Source organism: Homo sapiens, chromosome 3 (genome assembly GCF_000001405.40).
Source record: "Homo sapiens chromosome 3, GRCh38.p14 Primary Assembly".
Lineage (NCBI taxonomy): Eukaryota > Metazoa > Chordata > Mammalia > Primates > Hominidae > Homo > Homo sapiens.
In genome coordinates, this window is record NC_000003.12 from 119,843,482 (window position 1) to 119,866,731 (window position 23,250).

Sequence of the window (23,250 nt, forward strand, 5' to 3'; positions counted from 1 at the left end):
CCTGTAATCCTAGCACTTTGGGAGGCCAAGGTGGGTGAATCACCTGAGGTCAGGAGTTCGAGATCAGCCTGGCCAACATGGTGAAACCCCGTCTCTACTAAAAATACAAAAATTAGGGGATCAATGCAACAAGAAGAGCTAACTATCATAAATATATATGCACCCAATACAGGAGCATCCGGATTCATAAAGGAAGTTCTTAGAGACCTACAAAGAGACTTGGACTCCCACACAATAACAGTGGGAGACTTTAACACCACATTGTCAGTATTACACAGATCAACGAAACAGAAAAGTAACAAGGATATTTGGGACTTGAACTCAGCTCTGGACCAAGTTCTGTAGATAGACATCTACAGAACTCTCCACCCCAAATCAACAGAACATACATTCTTCTCAGCACCACACTGCACTTACTCTAAAATCGACCACATAATTGGAAGTAAAACAGTCCTCAGCAAATGCCAAAGAACAGAAATCATAACAAACAGTCTCTCAGACTACAGTGAATCAAATTACAACTCAGGATTAAGAAACTCACTCAAAACCGCACAACTACATGGAAACTAAACAACCTGCTCCTGAATGACTACTGGGTAAATAACGAAATTAAGGCAGAAATAAATAAGTTCTTCGAAACCAATGAGAACAAAGACACAACATACCAGAATCTCTGGGACACAGCTAAAGCAGTGTTTAAAGGGAAATTTATAGCACTAAATAAATGCCCACAGGAGAAAGCAGGAAAGATGTAAAATTGACACCCTAACATCACAATTAAAAGAACCAGAGAAGCAAGAGCAAACACATTCAAAAGCTAGCACAAGACAAGAAATAACTAAGATCAGAGCAGAACAGAAGGAGACAGAGACACAAAAAACTCTTAAAAAAAAAAAATCAATGAATCCAGGAGCTGGTTTTTTGAAAAGATTAACAAAATAGATAGACTGCTAGCCAGATTAATAAAGGAAAGAGAGAAGAATCAAATAGACACAATAAAAAATGATAAAGGGGAGATCACCACTGATCCCACAGAAATACAAACTACCATCAGAGAATACTATAAACAGCTCTACGCAAATAAACTAGAAAATCTAGAAGAAATGGATAAATTCCTGGACACATACACCCTCCCAAGACTAAACCAAGAAGAAGTTGAATCTCTGAATAGACCAATGGCAGTAATTAATAGCCTACCAACAAAAAAAGCCCAAGACCAGATGGATTCACAATTGAATTCTACCAGAGGTACAAAGAGGAGCTGGTACCATTCCTTCTGAAACTATTCCAATCAACAGAAAAAGAGGGAATCCTCCCTAACTCATTTTATGCAGCCAGCATCATCCTGATAGCAAAACCTGGCAGAGACACAAGAAAGAAAGAAAATTTCAGGCCAATATATCTGATGAACATAGATGCAAAAATCCTCAATAAAATACTGGCAAACCGAATCTAGCAGCACCTTAAAAAGCGTATCCACCATGATCAAGTCGGCTTCATCCCTGGGATGAAAGGCTGGTTCAACATATGCAAATCAATAAACGTAATTCATCACATAAACAGAACTAATGACAAAAACCACATGATTATCTCAATAGATGTGGCGAAGGCCTTTAATAAAATTCAACAGCCCTTCATGCTAAAAACACTCAATAAACTAGGTATTGATGGAACATATCTCAAAATAGTAAGAGCTATTTATGACAAACCCACAGCCAATACGGTACTGAACGTTTCAGGCAAAAGCTGGAAGCATTCGCTTTGAAAACCAGCACAAAACAAGGGTGCCCTCTCTCACCACTCCTATTCAACATAGTATTGGAAGTTCTGGCCAGGGCAATCAGGCAAGAGAAAGAAATAAAGGGTATTCAAATAGGAAAAGAGGAAGTCAAATTATCTGTTTGCAGATGACATGACTGTATATTTAGAAAACCCCATCGCCTCAGCCCAAAATCTCCTTAAGCTGATAAGCAACTTCAGCAAAGTCGCAGGATACAAAATCAATCTCAAAAATCACAAACATTCTTATACACCAATAACAGACAGAGAGCCAAATCATGAGCAAACTCCCATTCACAATTGCTACAAAAAGAATAAAATACCTGGGAATACAAGTTACAAGGGATGTGAAGGATCTCTTCAAGGAGGACTACAAACCACTGCTCAAGGAAATAAGAGAGGACACAAACAAATGGAAAAACATTACATGCTAATGGATAGGAAGAATTAATATGGTGAAAATGGCCATACTGCCCAAAGTAATTTATAGATTATTCAATGCTATTCCCATCGAACTACCACTGACTTTCTTCAAAGAATTAGAAAAAACTACTTTAAATTTCATATGGAACCAAAAAAGAGCCCGTATAGCCAAGACAATCCTAAGCAAAAAGAACAAAGCTGGCGGCATCAGCAAAGGCTACAAGGCTACAGTCACCAAAACAGCATGGTACTGGTACCAAAAAAGATATACAGACCAATGGAACAGAACAGAGCCCTCAGAAATACCACCACACATCTACAACCATCTGATCTTTGACAAACCTATCAAAAACAAGCAATGGGGAAAGGATTCCCTATTTAATAAATGGTGTTGGGAAAACTAGCTAGGCATATGCAGAAGACTGAAACTGGACCCCTTCCTTATACCTTATACAAAAATTAACTCAAGATGGATTAGAGACTTAAACGTAAGACCTAAAACCATAAAAACCCTAGAAGGAAACCTAGGCAATATCATTCAGGATATAGGCATGGGCAAAGAATTCATGACTAAAACACCAAAAGCAATGGCAACAAAAGCCAAAATTGACAAATGGTCAAATTAAACTAAAGAGCTTCTGCACAGCAAAAGAAACTATCATCAGAACAGGCAACCTACAGAATAAGAAAAATTTTTGCCATCCATCTGACAAAGGGCTAATATCCAGAATCTACAAGGAACTTAAACAAATTTACAAGAAAAAAACAAACAATCCCATCAAAAAGTGGGCGAAAGATATGAACAGACATTTTTCAAAAGAAGATATTTATGTGGCCAACAAACATATGAAAAAAAGCTCATCATCGCTGATTATTAGAGAAATGCAAATCAAAACCACAATGAGATACCATCTCACACTAGTTAGAATGGTGATCATTAAAAAGTCAAGAAACAACAGATGCTGGAGAGGATGTGGAGAAACAAGAATGCTTTTACACTGTTGGTGGGAGTGTAAATTAGTTCAATTGTGGAAGATAGTGTGGCAATTCCTCAAGGATCTAGAATTTGAAATACCATTTGACCCAGCCATCCCATTACTGGGTATATACCCAAAGGATTATAAATCATTCTACTATAAAGACACATGCATACATATATTTATTGCAGTACTATTCACAATAGCAAAGACTTGGAACCAACCCAAATGCCCACCAATGATAGACTGGATAAAGAAAATGTGGCCCATATACATCACAGAATATTATGCAGCCATAAAAAAAGAATGAGTTCATGTCTTTTGCAGGGACATGGATGAAGCTGGAAACCATCATTCTCAGCAAACTAACACAGGAACAGAAAACCAAACATGGCATGTTCTCACTCGTAAGTGGGAGTTGAACAATGAGAACATATGGGCACAGGGAGGGGAACATCACATACCAGGGCCTGTTGCGGGGTAGGGGGGAAGGGGGAGGGATAGCATTAGGAGAAATACCTAATGTAGATGATGGATTGATGGGTGCAGCAAACCACTATGGCACATGTATACCTATGTAACAAACCTGCACCTTCTCCACATGTATCCCAGAACTTAAAGTATAATAATAATCATAAAAAAAGAATAAGTTTAAAAAAAAATACAAAAATTAGCCTGGCGTGGTGGCACACACCTGTGATCCCAGGTACTTGGGAGGCTGAGGCAGGAGAATTGCTTGAACCCGCAAGGCAGAGGTTGCAGTGAGCCAAGACCGTGCCATTGCACTTCAGCCTGGGCGACAAGAGCGAAACTCCGTCTCAAAAACAAAACAAAACAAAACAAACCCTACCAGTTTAACAGGGGAAAAAAAAACCCACATGACAAACCTATATCTCAAACTAGCTAACTGAGTTAGTAATCAACTTACAGAAAAAGCCCACAGAAGTACTGTGATATATAACAAAGGCATTATCTACTAAAATTATGTCTGAGAACTAAAAATATCTCGGGGAAAGATGTGGCCAAAGTTTTGGAGTAGGTATATTAATAAGACATATCTGCATCTTTCATTGATTTAAATATATTAGGTTTTCCTGTCCTACTATGTCAATATTTGACTACAGGAAATACTGTACAAACATATTCTTTATGTTTTTAAAAGGTGGTGGTGTCATAGCAAAGAGAATATGAATGAGAATGTGTGTCTGTATGTGTATGTATGTACAACTGGATGTACTGACCAACCTATCCAACTGTTTATGAGCCAATGGCAGATAAGACTTATCTAGACACTAGTGGAAAAAGGATTTGAGAAACATCTGTTTAAAGTGTCACTGCTTTTATTAAAACTGAAAATGTCTTTATCCAATTCTTTACTCAGTAAGATTATTTTTGTTACTTTTTACAAGTTTGAAATAGGCTTTTTATCTGCATGGGGGAAGCTGTCTCTGTCAACTGTACTTACTTCTTTGAAGAATCAAGTTCTGTAGCAAGTAGTGGTAGCGAGCTTGTACACAAAAGCATTTTTTGTTAGTTTTAGGTAATGTGACTGTTCTCCCAGTTACCTGGGATAACCCTGGTTTATGCTTGTTACTTAAGTATTTAGCCTGTAAGTACTAATTTTCACTCTAATATGTGTCACAGTTTGAAGGAACAATCATAACCATAACAAGCTACAGGAGGACATTATCCTCTGAGCTACAGCACACACTTTGGCAATTCACAGATACAGCATGAATTTTAAAAAGTTCAAGAAAAGCTTTTTTTTTTAAATTAAGGTATAATTTATGTTAACATAAACCATTTAAAAGTGTACAATTCAGCACAATTCAGCATCTAGTACATTCGCAAGGTTTATAACCATCTCCTCTAGTTCCAAAACATTTTCATCACCCCAAAGGGAAACACCAAACTCGCAAGCAGTCACTCTACATTAATCCCTTCCCCTAAGACCCTAGCAAGGGAAATTGTACTTTTAATGTAGTAGTTTTAAAATGTTTTCTGGTGCAAAGCCCCTGCCAATAATATTTATTCAAATCAGTACCTAAACATCTAAATTTTGTACTAAATTACATACTAAATGATATCAGATTGTGGTAAAGAAAAGCAATAAATTGATGCTAAGATTTATTAAAAATGAATGAAAGGAAAAGCTTAAAACTGAGAAAACTATTCATTTTCCTTTCCCCTAAATGAGAAAATTTAGTCCAGCTCATCAAATAGTCTTGCCTGGGAAGACAGTTGAAGATACTGCCCTAATTATCAGGTTCTAGGAGATACTGTTTTCTCACAATCAGACTTGGTAGCTATCTGGGTTCTCACTAAGGAACAGAAAGCTCCTATGCCATTTTACTTCAAGTCAGTTCAATTTTAACCCATAATCTTATATGCAGGAAAGCAAAATAATTGCTAGCAATTGTGATGGCTGAAAACTTTATGGCTCCAGGTACAAAAAAAAGCATTAATATGTGGTTTTTATTCTAAAGAAATTCAGATTTACCATTCTCAATTAAAAGCATCTAAAATAGAAAGGCTTCTTTAAAATCCAACCATCCATCAACCCACCCACATATCCATCCAACAATATTGAACATGAAATGTGTAAGGTCCCAGGATAGGGAGATAAAAAGACAACTGTCCTTTGTCTGATCAACAGAAATTGACAAGAACAACTGAAAAAACAATCTGGCAAGAAAGGCAACCACTTAGGACAGGGGCACTGTCAAATGAAAACATCTCAATAACCATGTGCTCGATACCTAAAATAAACCTAAAAATGAAAAGAGGACCGGAGTTTTTAATAAGACATTTTGACAAAGCTGTTAAAAATAATCTTTAAAATAAACTGAGTATCAGTGGTCTGTGGTCCCTCTCCTTATGGCCCATGCTGTCCATTTTCTCCCATATATTTACTCTCTTTTACCACATCACCTATCCTTCTGTGTATCTGAATGCCAGTTGAAGGCCACAGCAGTTTTGTGTCTTAGTCTGGACAAGAATATGTAATGTATAGTCAGCTATCCCTTGGTATCCTGGGGGATTTGTTCCAAGACCCTCCTCAGATACCCAAATCCAAAGATGCTTAAGTCCCTTGCATAAAATGGCATAGTATTTACAGGTAACCTACACAGAGCCTCTCATATACTTTATTTTTTTATTTTTTATTTTATTTTTTGAGACAGTCTCACTCTGTTGCCCAGGCTGGAGTACAATGATGTGATCTTGGCTCACTGCAACCTCTGCCTCCTGGGTTCACGCGATTCTCGTGCATGAGCCTCTCATATACTTTAAATCATCTCTAGATTACTTATAATACCGAATACAATGTAAATACTATGTAAATAGTTTTATAGATGTAAATCTATAGATGTATGTAATGTAAATCTATAGATGTATGTATGTATGTATGTATGTAAAAAGACTGTCATTTTGGCCTTAGATAAGGAGAGAGGGGTAACTAATGAAGGGTAAGGGGAAAAAAAGTGAAGAAATTAAGAAGACAAGAAATAGAAAAGATTTGGGATCTCGGAGGCTTTGCCACACCCAAAGACACGGAGTGCGGGTGAGGGTGGGGTCCAAGATGTGAAGGGGGGTACTTTGTGAACCTTTTTCTAGCAAGAACCTAAAAGTTAAGAATTCTAAAATGAACAATCACTACTACTTCTACATCCTTCCAACTTCTACACCCCATTGTTCTTCTTCTCTTCCTTAATTACAGGCAATCCTTAAAATCCATTGCTTTCATCTGTTCAGTCTTCTCTACTTCAAAGAGGTTGTTAACTGTTACTTACAACTTTTCCCTGTGAGGAAGCCTCCTTGCACTCTTGCTATAGTCCTATTCTTGCCACTGTAAGTCCACACTTTTTATGGGGACAGACTATGGGCATTTCTATAGGGCTATGTCAACCAGTTCAAAATGTTTTTTTTTAATCCCAACCATTACTACCTACTTCTAATCACTTTGTCTACCCATGGCAATGAGTGATAAGGAAATGGAGTCAGTGAGGGTGAATATAAACTGCAGTGAAAGAATAGAAAAAATGGTGGTATTTTGGAGGATAGAAACAGCAAAGTAACAGCACCTGTTAGCATCAGACACAGTGTATGTATTCTTGAAGGCAGAGGAGTGTTGAAGAGACTGAAATTGAAATGTAAGGTAATATTTATTTACTAGATATGTGTGCTAAGCTTGAGAGTAGGGGGATAAGAACAAAAAGGTCCATAATGAAGTGGGACAGCTCTGGAGAAGTGAGAGGAAAATGAAAAATAGGAAGGATAAAAGATAGACTGTGTTACCTAGAGACATGGTTTAAAACAAAACGGCAAGAAATTCCAGAAAACTTTAGAAAAATTAATGTGATAAAAATTTCTTCAGCCAACTGAAGAAGTCATGAAAACTATTCATTAAAAAGCCACGTAGTTTATTAGGGAAAACTACAAATGTTTTGATGGTGCATCAATAATTATGTGTTCCATAATTAAACATTTTAATGCACAATTTAAACAAAAGCAAAATGAGTTTAAATATAGATATGAATCAACCAAAAAGTTAACAAAATCCATTTAACTAAATTTTGCTGCATTGTTTTATACTGCAAAACACAGAAGAAAAATTCCCATGAAAAGACAAACTCAATAAACTCAAATATGCCTGATAAAGCAGTCTTTTCCAATGGAAAAATGAAACCTACATCTAGTTGGTAAAATCTGAAATTTGCCTTAAAAGTTTCTATTCTTCCAAGTACAAGATCCCCAAATTCATTGATAAAATGGGACAGGTAAGAACTTTCCTAGTTTTCTGAGGGGGCAGGTAGGTGCTAGTGGTAACGTGTTTGTACAAACTGTTGTGTGAAAGATGAGGACAAATTTGAGAGCAGCAATCAATGTGTGAATCAGAGGGAAGAAAATCAACCCCTCTACTGACTAGATCTCCTCTTACAGTGATGTAATAAAATACTTAGCAGTCATTATATAAAAGGGAATCTTCCTCCTCTACTAGCTTTGAAGGAGCTCACCCTGCAGATCTCCAAAAAGGAGTTACTAAAATAAGCAGACATTCTTTTTCTTCTACAAGAAGTCTGACCTCCTCATGTGTGTACCAGGCCTCTTATTACATATAATAATTGTCAGTGGTTGTCTATACAGTTAAAAGTGCTATTTCTCTCTATTCACAAAAAGGTTTAAATGACTTAATAATGGAGTGCCCCCATTACATTTGTGTATTTTTTTAGGCAATAATTCAAATGCTAAGATGATGTCCCTTGCTCTCACACATTTCTGAATTCTAATGGTGCTTACTTACTTGTATATATTTCCTTGTAGATGAATGAATAAACCACATCATAACTGCTTCTCTCCTTGGTAACAATTCCAAAGTGCCCAGGAAATTCCTGACCATGTTCCTAATGCTAAACTAATTAGAAAATCAGACAAATAGTAAGCAAATTACAAGGCTTACTGATACTGTTTTGGTAATACTGGTGATGTTTCATGTGAGGACTATATAATATGATATTTGCTGAAAGCCATGATGACTTTGGGATCCTTCCAATTTATACCACTCACCAAAAAATGTCTGAATGCTTTTATTGAACTACATTATAGTACAGGTGTTTTTAGAAGTTATCTAGCAAAGTGTTAATATTTTTAAAGTTCTAGTGATGTACTTGAAAATCTTATATTCAGAACTCTATTTTTTTTTTTTTAAAGACAGAGTCTCGCTCTGCTGCCTAGGCTGGAGTGCAGTGGTGTGATCTCAGCTCACCGTGACCTCTGCCTCCTGGGTTCAGGCGATTCTCCTGCCTCAGCCTCCTGAGTAGTGGGATTACAGGCACCCACCACCACGCCTGGCTAATTTTTGTATTTTTAGTAGAGACGGGTTTTCGCCATGTTGGCCAGGCTGGTCTCGAACTCTTTACCTCATGTGATCTGCTCACCCCCGCCTCCCAAAGTTCTGGGATTAGAAGTGTAAGCCACTGCACCCAGCCCAGAACTCTATTCTTAATGAAATGCAATAAATGAGGCATTACCAAGTTTTTCAAATCCAATTTAAAAAATAAACTTATTGGGCATTTAAAAATAATACTGCTCTTCACCCACTTTTTGATGGGGTTGATTTTTTCTTGTAAATTTGTTTAAGTTCTTTGTAGATTCTGGATATTAGCCCTTTGTCAGATGGGTAGATTGCAAAAATTTTCTCCCATTCTGTAGGTTGCCTGTTCACTCTGATGGTAGCTTCTTTTCCTGTGCAGAAGCTCTTTAGCTTAATTAGATCCCATTTGTCTATTTTGGCTTTTGTTGCCATTGCTTTTGGTGTTTTAGTCATGAAGTCCTTGCCCATGCCTATGTCCTGAATGGTATTGCCTAGGTTTCCTTCTAGGGTTTTCATGGTTTTCGGTCTAACATTTAAGTCTTTAATCCATCTTGAATTAATTTTTGTATCAGGTGTAAGGAAGGGATCCAGCTTCAGCTTTCTACATATGGCTAGCCAGTTTTCCCGGCACCATTTATCACATAGGGAATCCTTTCCCCATTTCTTGTTTTTGTCAGGTTTGTCAAAGATCAGATGGTTGTAGATTGTGATATTATTTCTGAGGGCTCTGTTCTGTTCCATTGGTCTATATCTCTGTTTTGGTACCAGTACCATGCTGTTTTGGTTACTGTAGCCTTGTAGTATAGTTCGAAGTCAAGTCGTGCTGCCTCCAGCTTTGTTCTTTTTGCTTAAGATTGTCTTGGCTATACGGGCTCTTTTTTGGTTCCATATGAACTTTAAAGTAGTTCTTTCCATTTCTGTGAAGAAAGTCATTGGTAGCTTGATGAGGATGGCACTGAATCTATAAATTACCTTGGGCAGTAGGGCCATTTTCACGACATTGATTCCTCCTATCCATGAGCATGGAATGTTCTTTCATTTGTTTGTGTCCTCTTTTATTTCGTTGAGCAGTGGTTTGTAGTTCTCCTTGACGAGGTCCTTCACGTCCCTTGTAAGTTGGATTCCCAGGTATTTTATTCTCTTTGAAGCAATTGTGAATGGGAGTTCACTCATCATTTGGCTCTCTGTTTGTCTGTTATTGGTGTATAAGAATGCTTGTGATTTTTGACATTGATTTTGTATCCTGAGACTTTGCTGAAATTGCTTATCAGCTTAAGGAGATTTTGGGCTGAGACGATGGGGTTTACTAAATATACAATCATCTCATCTGCAAACAGGGACATTTTGACCCCCTGTTTTCCTAATTCTTTTCCTTTATTTCTTTCTCCTGCCTGATTACCCTGGCCAGAACTTCCAACGCTATGTTGAATAGGACTGGTGAGAAAGGGAACCCCTGTCTTGTGCCAGTTTTCAAAGAGGAATGCTTCCAGTTTTTGCCCATTCAGTATGATATTGGCTGTGGGTTTGTCATAAACATGTTATTAATTTCAGATACGTCCCATCAATACCTAGTTTATTGAGAGTTTTTAGCATGAAGGTCTGTTGAATTTTGTCAAAGGCTTTTTCTGCATCTATTGAGATAATCACGTGGTTTTTGTCTTTGGTTTTGTTTATATGATGGATTATGTTTATTGATTTGCGTATGATGAACCAGCTTTGCATCCCAGGGATGAAGCCCACCTGATTGTGGTGGATAAGCTTTTTGATGTGCTACTGGATTCAGTTTGCCAGTATTTTATTGAAGATTTTTGCATCCATATTCATCAGGGATATTGGTCTAAAATTCTCTTTTTTTGTTGTGTCTCTGCCAGGCTTTGGTATCAGGATGATGCTGGCCTCATAAAATGAGTTAGGGAGAATTCCCTCTTTTTCTATTGACTGGAATAGTTTCAGAAGGAATGGTACCAGCTCCTCTGTGTACCTCTGGTAGATTTTGGCTGTGAATCTGTCTGGTCCTGGACTTTTTTTGGTTGGGAGGCTATTAATTATTGCCTCAACTTCAGAGCCTGTTATTGGTCTATTCAGGGATTCAACTTCTTCCTGGTTTAGTCTTGGGAGGGTGTATGTTTCCAGGAATTTATCCATTTCTTCTAGATTTTCTAGTTTATTTGCGTAGAAGTGTTCATAGTATTCTCTGATGGCAGTTTGTATTTCTGTGGGATCGGTGGTGATACCCCCTTTATCATTTTTTATTGCGTCTATTCGATTCTTCTCTCTTTTCTTCTTTATTAGCCTTGCTGGCGGTCTATCAATTTTGTTGATCTTTTCAAAAAACCAGCTCCTGGATTCACTGACTTTTTGAAGGGTTTTTTGCGTCTCTATCTCCTTCAGTTCTGCTCTGACCTTAGTTATTTCTTGCCTTCTGCTATCTTTTGAACGTGTTTGCTCTTGCTTCTCTAGTTCTTTTAATTGTGATGTTAGGGTGTCAATTTTAGATCTTTCCTTCTTTCTCTTGTGGGCATTTAGTGCTATAAATTTTCCTCTATATGCTGCTTTAAATGTGTCCCAGAGATTCTGGTATGTTGTGTCTTTGTTCTCATTGGTTTCAAAGAACATCTTTATTTCTGCCTTCATTTTGTTATGTATCCAGTAGTCATAAGGAAGACATTTATGCAGCCAACAGACACATGAAAAAATGCTCATCATCACTGGCCACCAGAGAAATGCAAATCAAAACCACAAGGAGATACCATCTCACACCAGTTAGAATGGTGATCATTAAAAAGTCAGGAAACAACAGGTGCTGGAGAGGATGTGGAAAAATAGGAACACTTTTACACTGTTGGTGGGACTGTAAACTAGTTCAACCATTGTGGAAGACAGTGTGGCGATTCCTCAAGGATCTAGAACTAGAAATACCATTTGACCCAGCCATCCCATTACTGGGTGTATACCCAAAGGATTACAAATCATGCTGCTATAAAGACACATGCACATGTAAGTTTATTGCGGCACTATTCACAATAGCGAAGACTTGGAACCAACCCAAATGTCCATCAATGATAGACTGGATTAAGAAAATGTGGCACATATACACGATGGAATACTATGCAGCCATAAAAAAGGATGAGTTCATGTCCTCTGTAGGGACATGGATGAAGCTGGAAACTATCATTCTGAGCAAACTATCGCAAGGACAGAAAACCAAACACTGCATGTTCTCACTCACAGATGGGAATTGACCAATGAGAACACTTGGACACAGGGTGGGGAACATCACACACCGGGGCCTGTCGTGCGGTGGGGGGAGGGGGAGGGGTAGCAGTAGGAGAAATACCTAATGTAAATGACGAGTTAATGGGTGCAACACACCAACATGGCACATGTATACACATGTAACAAACCTGCACGTTGTGCACATGTACCCTAGAACTTAAAGTATAATAATACTGCTAATATTTTGATTCTGGGAGAACCAGTCTACATTTTTCTATGTTTATTTATATCATGATTTTGTATCTCAATCCTATTGTGGTCTACATTTTTAGCTTTGTCATTTTTTCTTTATCTTTCTGGAGTCAATTCATTTTTATAATTAAAATTTTGAAGATGCATATGTCCTTGAATATCCTTTAATCCAACAATCTCATTTATTTATATGGGGAAACTCAGGTAGGGATAGTGTGTTGACCAAGGTCTACACCTGTGTAGTTAAAGGGAACTAGGCTTTAGGTCTGACTTACTCTTTGCTCCTGCAATGTTGCATTTCTTTACTGTCTTGGTTATATATCATATACCACCAGTGTTCTGGTCTTCTGTAAGTATATCTGTCCAAACTACACACAGAACTTTCATTCAAGATACTAGTGTTTGATTGTTTGTTCCTACACCACTCTACATTTTCCCCAGTAGAGTACATCCAAAGTAGCAGGGTGGACCAAATAATCTCAGGCAAAACAATAAAAATTCTTATATAAAATAGATAATTTAGAGCCTAAAATCTTGAATACAGTCACTCATTATTTGTCATTACTGCTGTAGTTACCTGAACTAAATCTTACCTGCCCCCTTTTAGTCCACTCATAAATTTTCTCAAGTTCTCCCTGTGGTGTGTCTCCACTGGCCTACCTAGCATTTCATTGCCCAGAAGAGTATACCTGATTACATAGAAATTTTACTCTTCTAGATTACTTAGAAAGTACTGAAGAATAATTCTGACATCAATTCTATTGATGTGTCCTACACACATCAAGAGTTCCTATCCTATGTAAATTTATCATGGCTATTGTAAATAATAAGTCTAAAAACCATTATGACTCACCTCAGAGTTCATAGTAATTTGAGAATAACCTTAGAAGATACAGGAATACCTCGGAGATACTACAGATTCAGTTTTAGACCACTACAATAAAGTGAGTCACGCAAATGTTTTGGTTTTCCACTGCATGTAAGTGATGAGTTTACCCTACACTATCGTCTATTAAGTGGGCAATAAGCATTACATCTAAAAAAAACCACATATATACCTTAATTTAAAAATACTTTATCACTAAAAAATCCTAAAGATCACCTGAGCCTTCTGCGAGTCATCTTTTGTGGGTGGAGGGTCTTATACCTTTATGTCGATGGCTGCTGATTGACCAGGATATTGGTTGCTGAAGGTTAGGGTGGCTATGGCAATTTCTTAAAACAAAACAACCATGAAGTTTGTCACAATGCCTGACTCTTCCTTTCACAAAAGATTTCTCTGTAGCATTTAAGGCTGTTTGATAGCATTTTACCCTGGTAGAATTTCTTTCAAAATTGGAGTCAACCCTCTCAAACCCTGTCACCGCTTTCAACTAAGATTATGGAATATTCTAAATCCTCTGTTGTCATCTCAACATAGCAGCTTCACCAGAAGCAGATTCCTTCTCAAGAAACCACTTTTTTTGCTCATCCATAAGAAGTAACTCCTCATTCATTCATGTTTTATCATAAAGACTGCAGCAAATCAGTCACTTTTCAGGTTTCACTTTTAATTCTAGTTCTCTTACTATTTTCACCACATCTGCAGTGACTTCCTCCACTGAAGTCTTGAGCCCCTCAGAGTTATCCATGAGGCTTGGGATTAACTTCTTCCAAAATCTTGTTAATGTTGATATTTGGACCTCTTTCACAAATCACAAATGTTCCGAATGACATCTAGAATGGTGAATCCTTTCCAGAAGGTTTTCAGTTTACTTTTCCCAGATCCATCAAAGGAATCACTATGTAATGGCAGTTACAGCCTTATGAAATGCATTTCTTAAATAACAGGACATAAAAGTAGAAATCATTCCTTGATCCATGGGCTGCAGAAATGGATGCTGTGTCAGTAGGCATGAAAACAACATTCATCTCCTTGTACCTCTCCATCAGAGCTCTTGGATGACTAGATACATTGTCATTAAGCAGTAACATTTTGAAAGAATCTTTTTTTCCTGAGCAGTAGGTCTCAACAGTGGGCTTCAAATATTCAGTAAACCACGCTGTAAACAGATGTGCTGTCATGCAGACTTTTTTGTTCCATTTATAGAGCACAAGAAGAGTAGACTTAGCATAATTCTTAAGGGCCCTAGGATTTTTGGAACGGTAAAGCAGCACTGGCATCCACTTAAAATCACCAGCTGTCTTAGCCCATAACAAATGAGTCAACCTATCCTTTGAAGCTTTGAAGCCAGGCCATCGACTTCTCCTCTCTAGCTAAGAAGATTCTAGATGGCATCTTCTTCCAATAGAAGGCTGTTCTGTCTCCACTGAAAATCTGTTGGTTAGTGTAGCTATGTTCACCAATGATCTTAGCTAGAGGTCTTCTGGATAATTTGCTGCAGCTTCTATATCAGCACTTGCTGCTTCACCTTGCACTTGAATGGTATGGAAATGGCTTCCTTCCTTAAGCCTCATGAACCAACCTCTGCTAGCTACAAACTTTTCCTTGTAGCTTCCTCACCTCTCTCAGCCCTTACAGAACTGAGTGACATTAGGGCCTTGCTCTGGATTAGGCTTTGCCTTAAGAAAATACTGTGGCTGTTTTGATCTCTATTTACTTCTTTGTGTGTTCACTGGAGTAGCACTTTAAATTTCCTTTGACAACTTTTTCTTTGCATTCACAACTTGGCAAACTGTTTAGCACAATGGGCCTAGCTTTTGGCCTATCTCAGCTGTTGACACACTTTCCTCACTAAGCTCAATCATTCTAACTTTTGATTTAAAGGGAGAGTATGTGTGACTCTGCCTTTCACTTGAACACTTAGAGGCTCTTGTAGGGTTATTAAATGGCCTAATTTCAATATTGTTGTGTCTCAGGGAATAGGAAGATCCAAGAAGAGGGAGAGAGATGGGGATTGGCTGATTGGTGGAGCAGTTGGGACACACACATTGATCAATTAGTTCAATACAAACTTCCAAAACAATCACAATAGTAACATCAAAAAAATTACTGATCACAGATCACCATAATGGATGTAATAACAATGAAAAAGCTCTAAATATTGCAAGAATTACCAAATGTGGCACAGAGACACAAAATAAACATAAGCTGTTGGAAAAATGGCACCAAAGTAAGCATAGCCTGTTGGAAAAACAGGCTTAGTCAACACAGAGTTGACACGAACGTTTTATTTGTGTATATAAAAAAAAAAAAAAGCATTACCTGTGAAATGCAATAAAGTGAAGCTCAATAAAACAATGTATGTCCATACTTTAATTAATCTCAGGTAGTTGTAATACTATATTCACTTCAGATGTGTCTGAGGATAAGGCAACTTAGAAGAAAATGCCTAGCACATGGGCAGATAAATAGATGCACTGACCTTATTTATGTCTATTGTTATTTTATAACAGGAAAATAAGTTTAAAAATCATTGTTACAAATATGGAATCTGCTAGTTATCATAATTAATTACAATAGATTTTATAAATAAGTAGCCTACTGCTTTCAAATGAAAGAAATACAAACTTTTGATGAGCTTGGATTCTAGAACACTTGCTTTTGTTGCCCATCTCCTACTCATTTTCAATTCCATGTTTTCATCAATTCCTATTCTGTAACACATTCTTATACTCTTTCAAAAAATATTTTCTAACCCTTTCCTTATTTTCCTTTGTTTTTTATATCTCAATCTTCCTTTTACTGTTCTTTTCTTTACTTGCTTTCTGGAACACCTTTTCTATCTCATCACCTGCTTTTCTCGTGTCCAGATACTCTTACCCCCCGCCCCAAAATATTCAGTCTGTCTGAGTCTGCATATTGCTCACTGGCTGCCCCAAATATCCTGTTTCAACTCTCAATTAAACAGTTCCCCAGAGTTACTAAATCACTGCTTCTTCTGGCCTAGCCAACATGCTGCCACTCTTACTTATCTCCCTACAAAGCTACCATTCTCACATAATCTAGCCAAGTGGTAGAGGAATAGAATGTTCACATTAGCTCATACTAAAGTAAATGGATAATATCTTTACCACCCCCATCCTACCCTACACTCTCAGGAGGACAATGTTTACTAAATAACTTCAATTGGTAAAATTTCATACAAATTAGGTAAAAAACTGAGATTGGGGATGTGTGTGATAGAGTTAGGGGGAGACTCACCTTTAAACATACAAAACAATTGATTCCCTAATATATTCCAGTCTTGGAATAGGCAACAAATTAGTTCATAAGAAAATACTGATCCTTATTGGGCTTTCCTGATTCTACCTGTTTCCTAAGGTCTGATTCAGCTATGGCTGAATTTGAAATTCTAATGACAGGAAGAAATAGAAAGAAGGGGGTGTGCCAAAGGTTTATTCCAATTTCCAACATCTGAATGCAGATAATATTGTCAGTCATGGGGTCCTGGAACACTGAAGCTTCAGTGCTGGAAAAATGAGAGGTCTGATATTCTCCTGAGTTATGGATTTAGGCAATCAGAAAGATCTTAAAGTTGTCCATCTCATATCTGTTCATCTCTCTCCTTCCTCTATCTGAATATGGAAATACTGTGATTACATGAAAGTAATACTAATTACTGTTTATGGCTAATTACCTCATGGTACAGTAACAAACATCAAAATGCAGTTAGCTTTATTGTAAGCTTTACCTTAATAAAACACTATATTTTACTCAAGTGTTTAATCTTTATAGTTCTGTACATATAGCAGGTTTACTTTACTAATTAAAACAACAATAGTAATAACAACCAGAGGGAACATTAGAAATGCCCAATAAATACTGGTTGTATGAATTAATGAATATTATGTTTACTTAAAGTGGTACACGGCACTCAAACATTCACTGAGCACCTACTATATGTACTTTATTTTATTTGGGGGAAGTAGTGCTGCAGATGTCACTGACAATTTGTTATGAGGATGGAGGAGGGCTTTATGCTGCCTTTAGAAGAACCTCACTAATACCCCTCACCCTTCACCAGACCCACAATGTTTCTATCTCTAGATTTCCTTTAGCTATACAACCAAGTGGAAAATTGATTCTCCTTCTTCAACCCCTTGGATTACCCAGTTTTATTCTGGTCATCCATTAACTAACTAGTCATCCACATACTAACTAGTATGTGCTTTAAAGCTGCATCTGTACACAGTTACAGCTTCCTTAGAAAACAAGATCACCATTTGGAAACACTGCTCCAAAATTAGAATACAGAGTATCATATCAAATAGAATGGCATCATCAAGGCCAGGCATGGTGGCTCATGCCTGTAATCCCAGCACTTTGGGAGGCCAAGGCAGGCAGATCACCTGAGGTCAGGAGTTTAAAACCAGCCTGGCCAACATGGCGAAACCCCGTCTCTACTGAAAATACAAAAATTAGCCAGGTATGGTGGCAGGAGCCTGTAATCCCAGCTACTAAGGAGGCTGAGGCACAAGAATTGTTTGAATCTGGGAGGTGGAGGTTGCAGCGAGCCGGTATCATGCCACTGCACTCCAGCCTGAGTGACAGAGTGAGACTCCGTCTCAAAAAAAAAAAAAACAAAACAAACAAACAAACAAACAAAAAAACCAAAAAACAACAACAAAAAAACCCCACCTCTTCCCTGGACATCTGTGTCTTTATTGCATAGAAACACTGTTCAAAAACAGTAACAATAGCGATTTACAAAGACCGTGAGAAAGTACTACTTTGTGATCACAGCCCAGTTTCAGAATGGGTGCTAAGACAGAGCATTTGAACACTTTTTAACAAGGGGCCATACCTCAAAATGATAGCACTTTCAATAATATACTTAGTATGCGTAAGCACACTCTGTAACGTCTGCACAAGGATGAAAATTGCCTAATAATACATTTCTCAGAACATATCTGCATCATTAAGCAATACATGACTGTGTTTACAGGGTCCACTTTTTCACTGATACTCACAGAATCACATAAGCACTCTGATAACCACAGAGACCACACACTGTATCTATACACATTACATCCAAATACAAATGCATTCTCCAAACCCTCAAAAACATAAATGTTCAAGACACACATATTTATATCTAATGTGCTGGGCAAACATAAGATTTTAAAATACCAAAATAAAAGTCTTCTTTTTTTTTTTTTAAAAGAAACTTGGAACCAACCCAAATGTCCAACAATGATAGACTGGATTAAGAAAATGTGGCACATATACACCATGGAATACTATGCAGCCATAAAAAATGATGAGTTCATATCCTTTGTAGGGACATGGATGAAATTGGAAACCATCATTCTCAGTAAACTATCGCAAGAACAAAAAACCAAACACCGCATATTCTCACTCATAGGTGGGAATTGAACAATGAGATCACATGGACACAGGAAGGGGAATATCACACTCTGGGGACTGTGGTGGGGTCGGGGGAGGGGGGAGGGATAGCATTGGGAGATATACCTAATGCTAGATGACACATTAGTGGGTGCAGCACACCAGTATGGCACATGTATACATATGTAACTAACCTGCACAATGTGCACATGTACCCTAAAACTTAGAGTATAATAAAAAAAAAAAAAAAAAAAGAAAGATATGATACATATGAATAAAGGAAATATATTTCTTTCTTGGTCACATAAAACTCTACATCTCCCTTTTTTGTTTTCTAGCCTGAGTATGCTTACTAATCAATATATCAACTATTTCTTGTTTTTTTTTTTTTTTTTTTGTAATGAATTGTACACTTTTTATGCTCAGTGTAATAAGAAAGTCACATCAGCAGAGGCGGTGTGACTGAATGAATGAATCACTTAGGTCTTAATCAAGGAGAAAAGAAAACTGAACACAGAAATAGTGAAGAAATAGTGACTATCCCAAGGTCTCCCAGAAACCACAATGCACAAAGTTCGTTTCCCTTTCAGTATTATCTCAGCAGCAGCAATGGTGCCAGTCTCAGAGGGGATGGAAATTTCCTTGTGTCTATTGTTTAAGTTCTTAGAAAGGGTTTATAGGGCTCTACTTTTCCTCCTGTTTGGAAGACAACTGAATTTACACAAATATAGCCAATTCATTCCAGGTTTAAAAAAACTTGATACAAACTCTTTGGAAGCAAGAAATGCTACTATTTTGTTTCAGATCCAAACCTAAAAGTTAAATTGTACATTTGTCCAATTAGTGATAAACTTCACTCACTGAACTCTCTGTAACTTCTCATGTGCCAACATTATATTCTGCTAAAAATTAAAGAAGCTATGTCTATTGGAAAACTTTTACGTGCTACTCTTCTGTTCAAAACCATGTAAGTAGTGGCCAGTAAGTTAGAAAGGATGCTCTTTTCACCTACCTAAGTACTTAATATGTCCGTTTTTGTCCTCCACAGATTTTAATTAATAGAATGTCATTTCACACCCAGGGTGTAGCTTTCCTAGAACTGGTGAAGAGGCTAAGTGTTTGGAGTTACCTTGAGTGGTGAAGTTGAAGAGTGCAGGTGTGTCTCGCCCATTTGGTAGTTTGACATTTGGGTCCCGTAATTCATCAAAAAATGAATGTGCACAAGCTTCCAGTGGTGTTAGTCGGGCAGTTGGTGTATACTCCAGCAGACGGCTACACAGTGCAATTGCCTCCGGTGGAGTTCGGGGTCGGAAGACCTGCAGTACAAAAAAAGGGAAAGAACAATTAATGTTTTATTTTAAGAATCTAAGCAAATACCCTGTGAATAATGACTTAATTCCCACCATGTACAGAAACATGGTTGCATTTGGGAAAGGACCTTCTAGAATGGAAAGAGTTAAATGCATATGATTCACAGGGGTGAATTGCTAATTAAAGATTATATGAGAAATGCTCAGAGAAAAATCTATATATGCTAATCATAAAGTAATAACAATCAGACATGCATACAAAATATGACAGGCACATGGGAAAGGCTGAGTTCTGGTGGCAAGCACAACTAGAAAAATATTTTTTAAATTTTAAAGTTTTCACTGCTATGGCAGTAAATAAAAGATTGCCTCTTTTGCATTGTTTTTTTAGCCGAACAATTGTTAATGATGAGCAGCACTGTTCGAAAACTTGGCAATCAAACAGAAGAGAAAGAAGAGCTATTTACTCTAGGTCTATAAATGCTACTGATTTGGTATTATTTCCAATAAACAGAGCCTACCATTATTTGAAGAAATTCTTGAATACCTAGAATTTGATAAAATGTCCTGCATTTTTTTTCTCAAGTAGGTGTTACCATGAATGTGGCCAGATTTCCCCCACTTGAATGAATATTCCAGGGTTTTAATCAAGGAGAAAAAAATGTATTATTCATTAAGAATGATTAAGACAAAGAAAAAGTCAACTGAAGGCTATATTGAAGAAAAATTCAATTAAATTAATCTACTTAAAGGAATAGATAGCTTTCTACTAATTTGTGTCTTAAATAAAGCTAATAAATACAAAAACTATAAAAATATTCTTCATTCTAAATTATGGCCACCTACAGAATAAAAATAAAAAGGTAAGGATAGAAATAAACAGACGAGAAGCCTTTGAAATTAAAGAAAAATGAAACATATATCCCTCGACAGGAAGAACATACAACGAAATAAAAGGTGTGACGATGGAGGTGGGCAGAGAAGTAGACACTTATAAATGGAGGGAAACGGACCCACAAGTGAGAAAAGCCCACGCAGATTGTGACAGGGCATGGAGCAGCCTGGAAGGCTAAGGTTTCCTCGTAAGAATGGCTCATGTAACATTTGGTTGTTCACTTATGCTGACAGTTAGTAGAACTAGTTACAACTACAGAGCTCATTAGACTTTCCAGAGATTATTTATGAGTGCTGTCTACAGTGAAAAGAGGATTGTATTTGTTTTTAATTTATTATTGAAAAAGACATTTTCCATGAAAATTGAGAAATTAGGTAAAGTAGGCTCTTAGGAAATTATTTCGGAACATAAAGAAAGGCCTTAGTCAATTTCTTGGTTATGTTACAAAGAAACCTTTTTGTAAGGTCAAAACCTGCCTTATCTTTATTCTTTTGAATACTCTGACTCGCCTCAGTCAAGGAAACCTTAGAGTTACTGTCGAATTTGAAATGTTTAGCTCTTCCACTGTTACTGGTCCCCTCTCTTGCTCCCAAGGTCCATAATCATATACAGAATGTAAAAAGAAAATAATCAGTGGGAAAACTCAGAAAATTTTCGTAAAAATATTAAACAGTATTGGCATATTTTATCCCTGAAGGCAAGTTTGCTTCTGTTTGATAGTATATGGATTTATTTTGCTAGCTAATCCAAAATGTTTTTGCACCAATATGGCAGCACATAAGTGGAATTAAAAGTAGCACCAAAAGTAGAAATAAATATCTCCCACTAACATTCAAATGTAGGATGGCTGGATGCTGAGTTATTTTAAATAAAAAAATTTCTTATTTTCAAAGATTTTGTGTTAAAGCTATTAATAAACCAGTATTATAAGCTTATTTCCGATATATATATATATATATATATATATATATATTTTTTTTTTTTTTTTTTTTTTTGAGATGGAGTCTTCCTGTCACCCAGGCTGGAATGCAGTGGCCCGATCTTGGCTCACTGCAAGCTCTGCCTCCCGGGTTCATGCCATTCTCCTGCCTCAGCCTCCCGAGTAGCTGGGACTACAGGCGCCCGCCACCACACCCAGCTAATTTTTTGTATTTTTAGTAGAGATGGGGTTTCACCGTGTTAGCCAGGATGGTCTCCATCTCCTGACCTCATGATCCGCCCGCCTCGGCCTCCCAAAGTGCTGGGATTACAGGCGTGAGCCACCGTGCCCGGCCTATTTCCAGTAATTTTTTAAGTCACCCATATCTTTTGGTGTTTTACTGCCTACAAGTGATCATCCATATCGGTACTAAGACATTTATTAGCGTATATTTGTCAGGGAATCCTAACTCATAAAGTTCAAGAGTTAAAAACAATGAAGAAAATAATACATGTCAAAAGCCTACATTAAAATCAAGATTTAACCTGCCTTTACAAAAACTATACACTGTCATTTTAAACCCTTGAGAGATTCTTGATGAGAAAAGCCTAGGTTCAGTACTCTGTGAATAAAGGTTAAGTGGAAAATTACGTGGGGTCAAAACCCAGTATCTCCCACAGTTCAGATTTCTGACCATAATACAGGGTGAGTTAGCATGTAACTTCTAAAAATTATAGGGCAAACTAGAAACTAGCTCATCTGAATTATTTTTGCTTCTAAAGAAAAGGAAACCACCAAGAACTGAAATTTGTCTTTTAATTAAAGAAGCTTCCGCTGTCACTTCTTTCCTTACTCACTGAAATTGCTTAACACTCAGACCTTTGGTTTCATGGATCTTCATCAATATTTATTCTTGTAATAGAAATAATAATTTTAAAACCCCACAATTCCTAAACTTCAGCCTAGATGTCAATGAATCACCCAAGAGGCTGACAATCTAAATATACTATAAGTGAAACCTATGCCATACAGTGAATAAAAACAGAAATCACAGCTACTTACATTGTTTACTATTACATTTCAAGAATGAGTAATTATTTAGCCTCTCAAAGAAGATTTCCCCCAAGTTTTATAGACCTGCCCTGAAATTTTGGGAAAAAAAAATTAAGTACATACCCGCACTCCTGAGGTGAAATGTCCTGTTCCTGACGAATCCTAAAGATGATAATGCAGTGAAATAATCCAAACAGGGGAAGTCAATCCAAAAGAGAATAGTCCAGCAAGGAAAAATATATCCAATGTTATAAGAAATCCATGG

General features: G+C 37.2%; 1 protein-coding gene across 4 annotated transcripts in view; it reads right to left on the bottom strand.

Moving 5' to 3' along the window:
• Positions 1 to 23,250, bottom strand: part of GSK3B (glycogen synthase kinase 3 beta) — a 273,127-nt gene that overhangs the window by 22,161 nt on the left and 227,716 nt on the right. For 2 of the 4 annotated variants that reach the window (XM_006713610.4, NM_002093.4), the window contains exons 9-10: positions 23,109 to 23,147; positions 19,938 to 20,124 (exon numbers count right to left, since the gene is read on the bottom strand). In XM_006713610.4, coding sequence (XP_006713673.1) covers positions 19,938 to 20,124; positions 23,109 to 23,147 — 226 coding nt within the window. The remainder of the gene's footprint in view (positions 1 to 19,937; positions 20,125 to 23,108; positions 23,148 to 23,250) is intronic. The other 2 variants (NM_001354596.2, NM_001146156.2) reach the window with 1 other exon arrangement.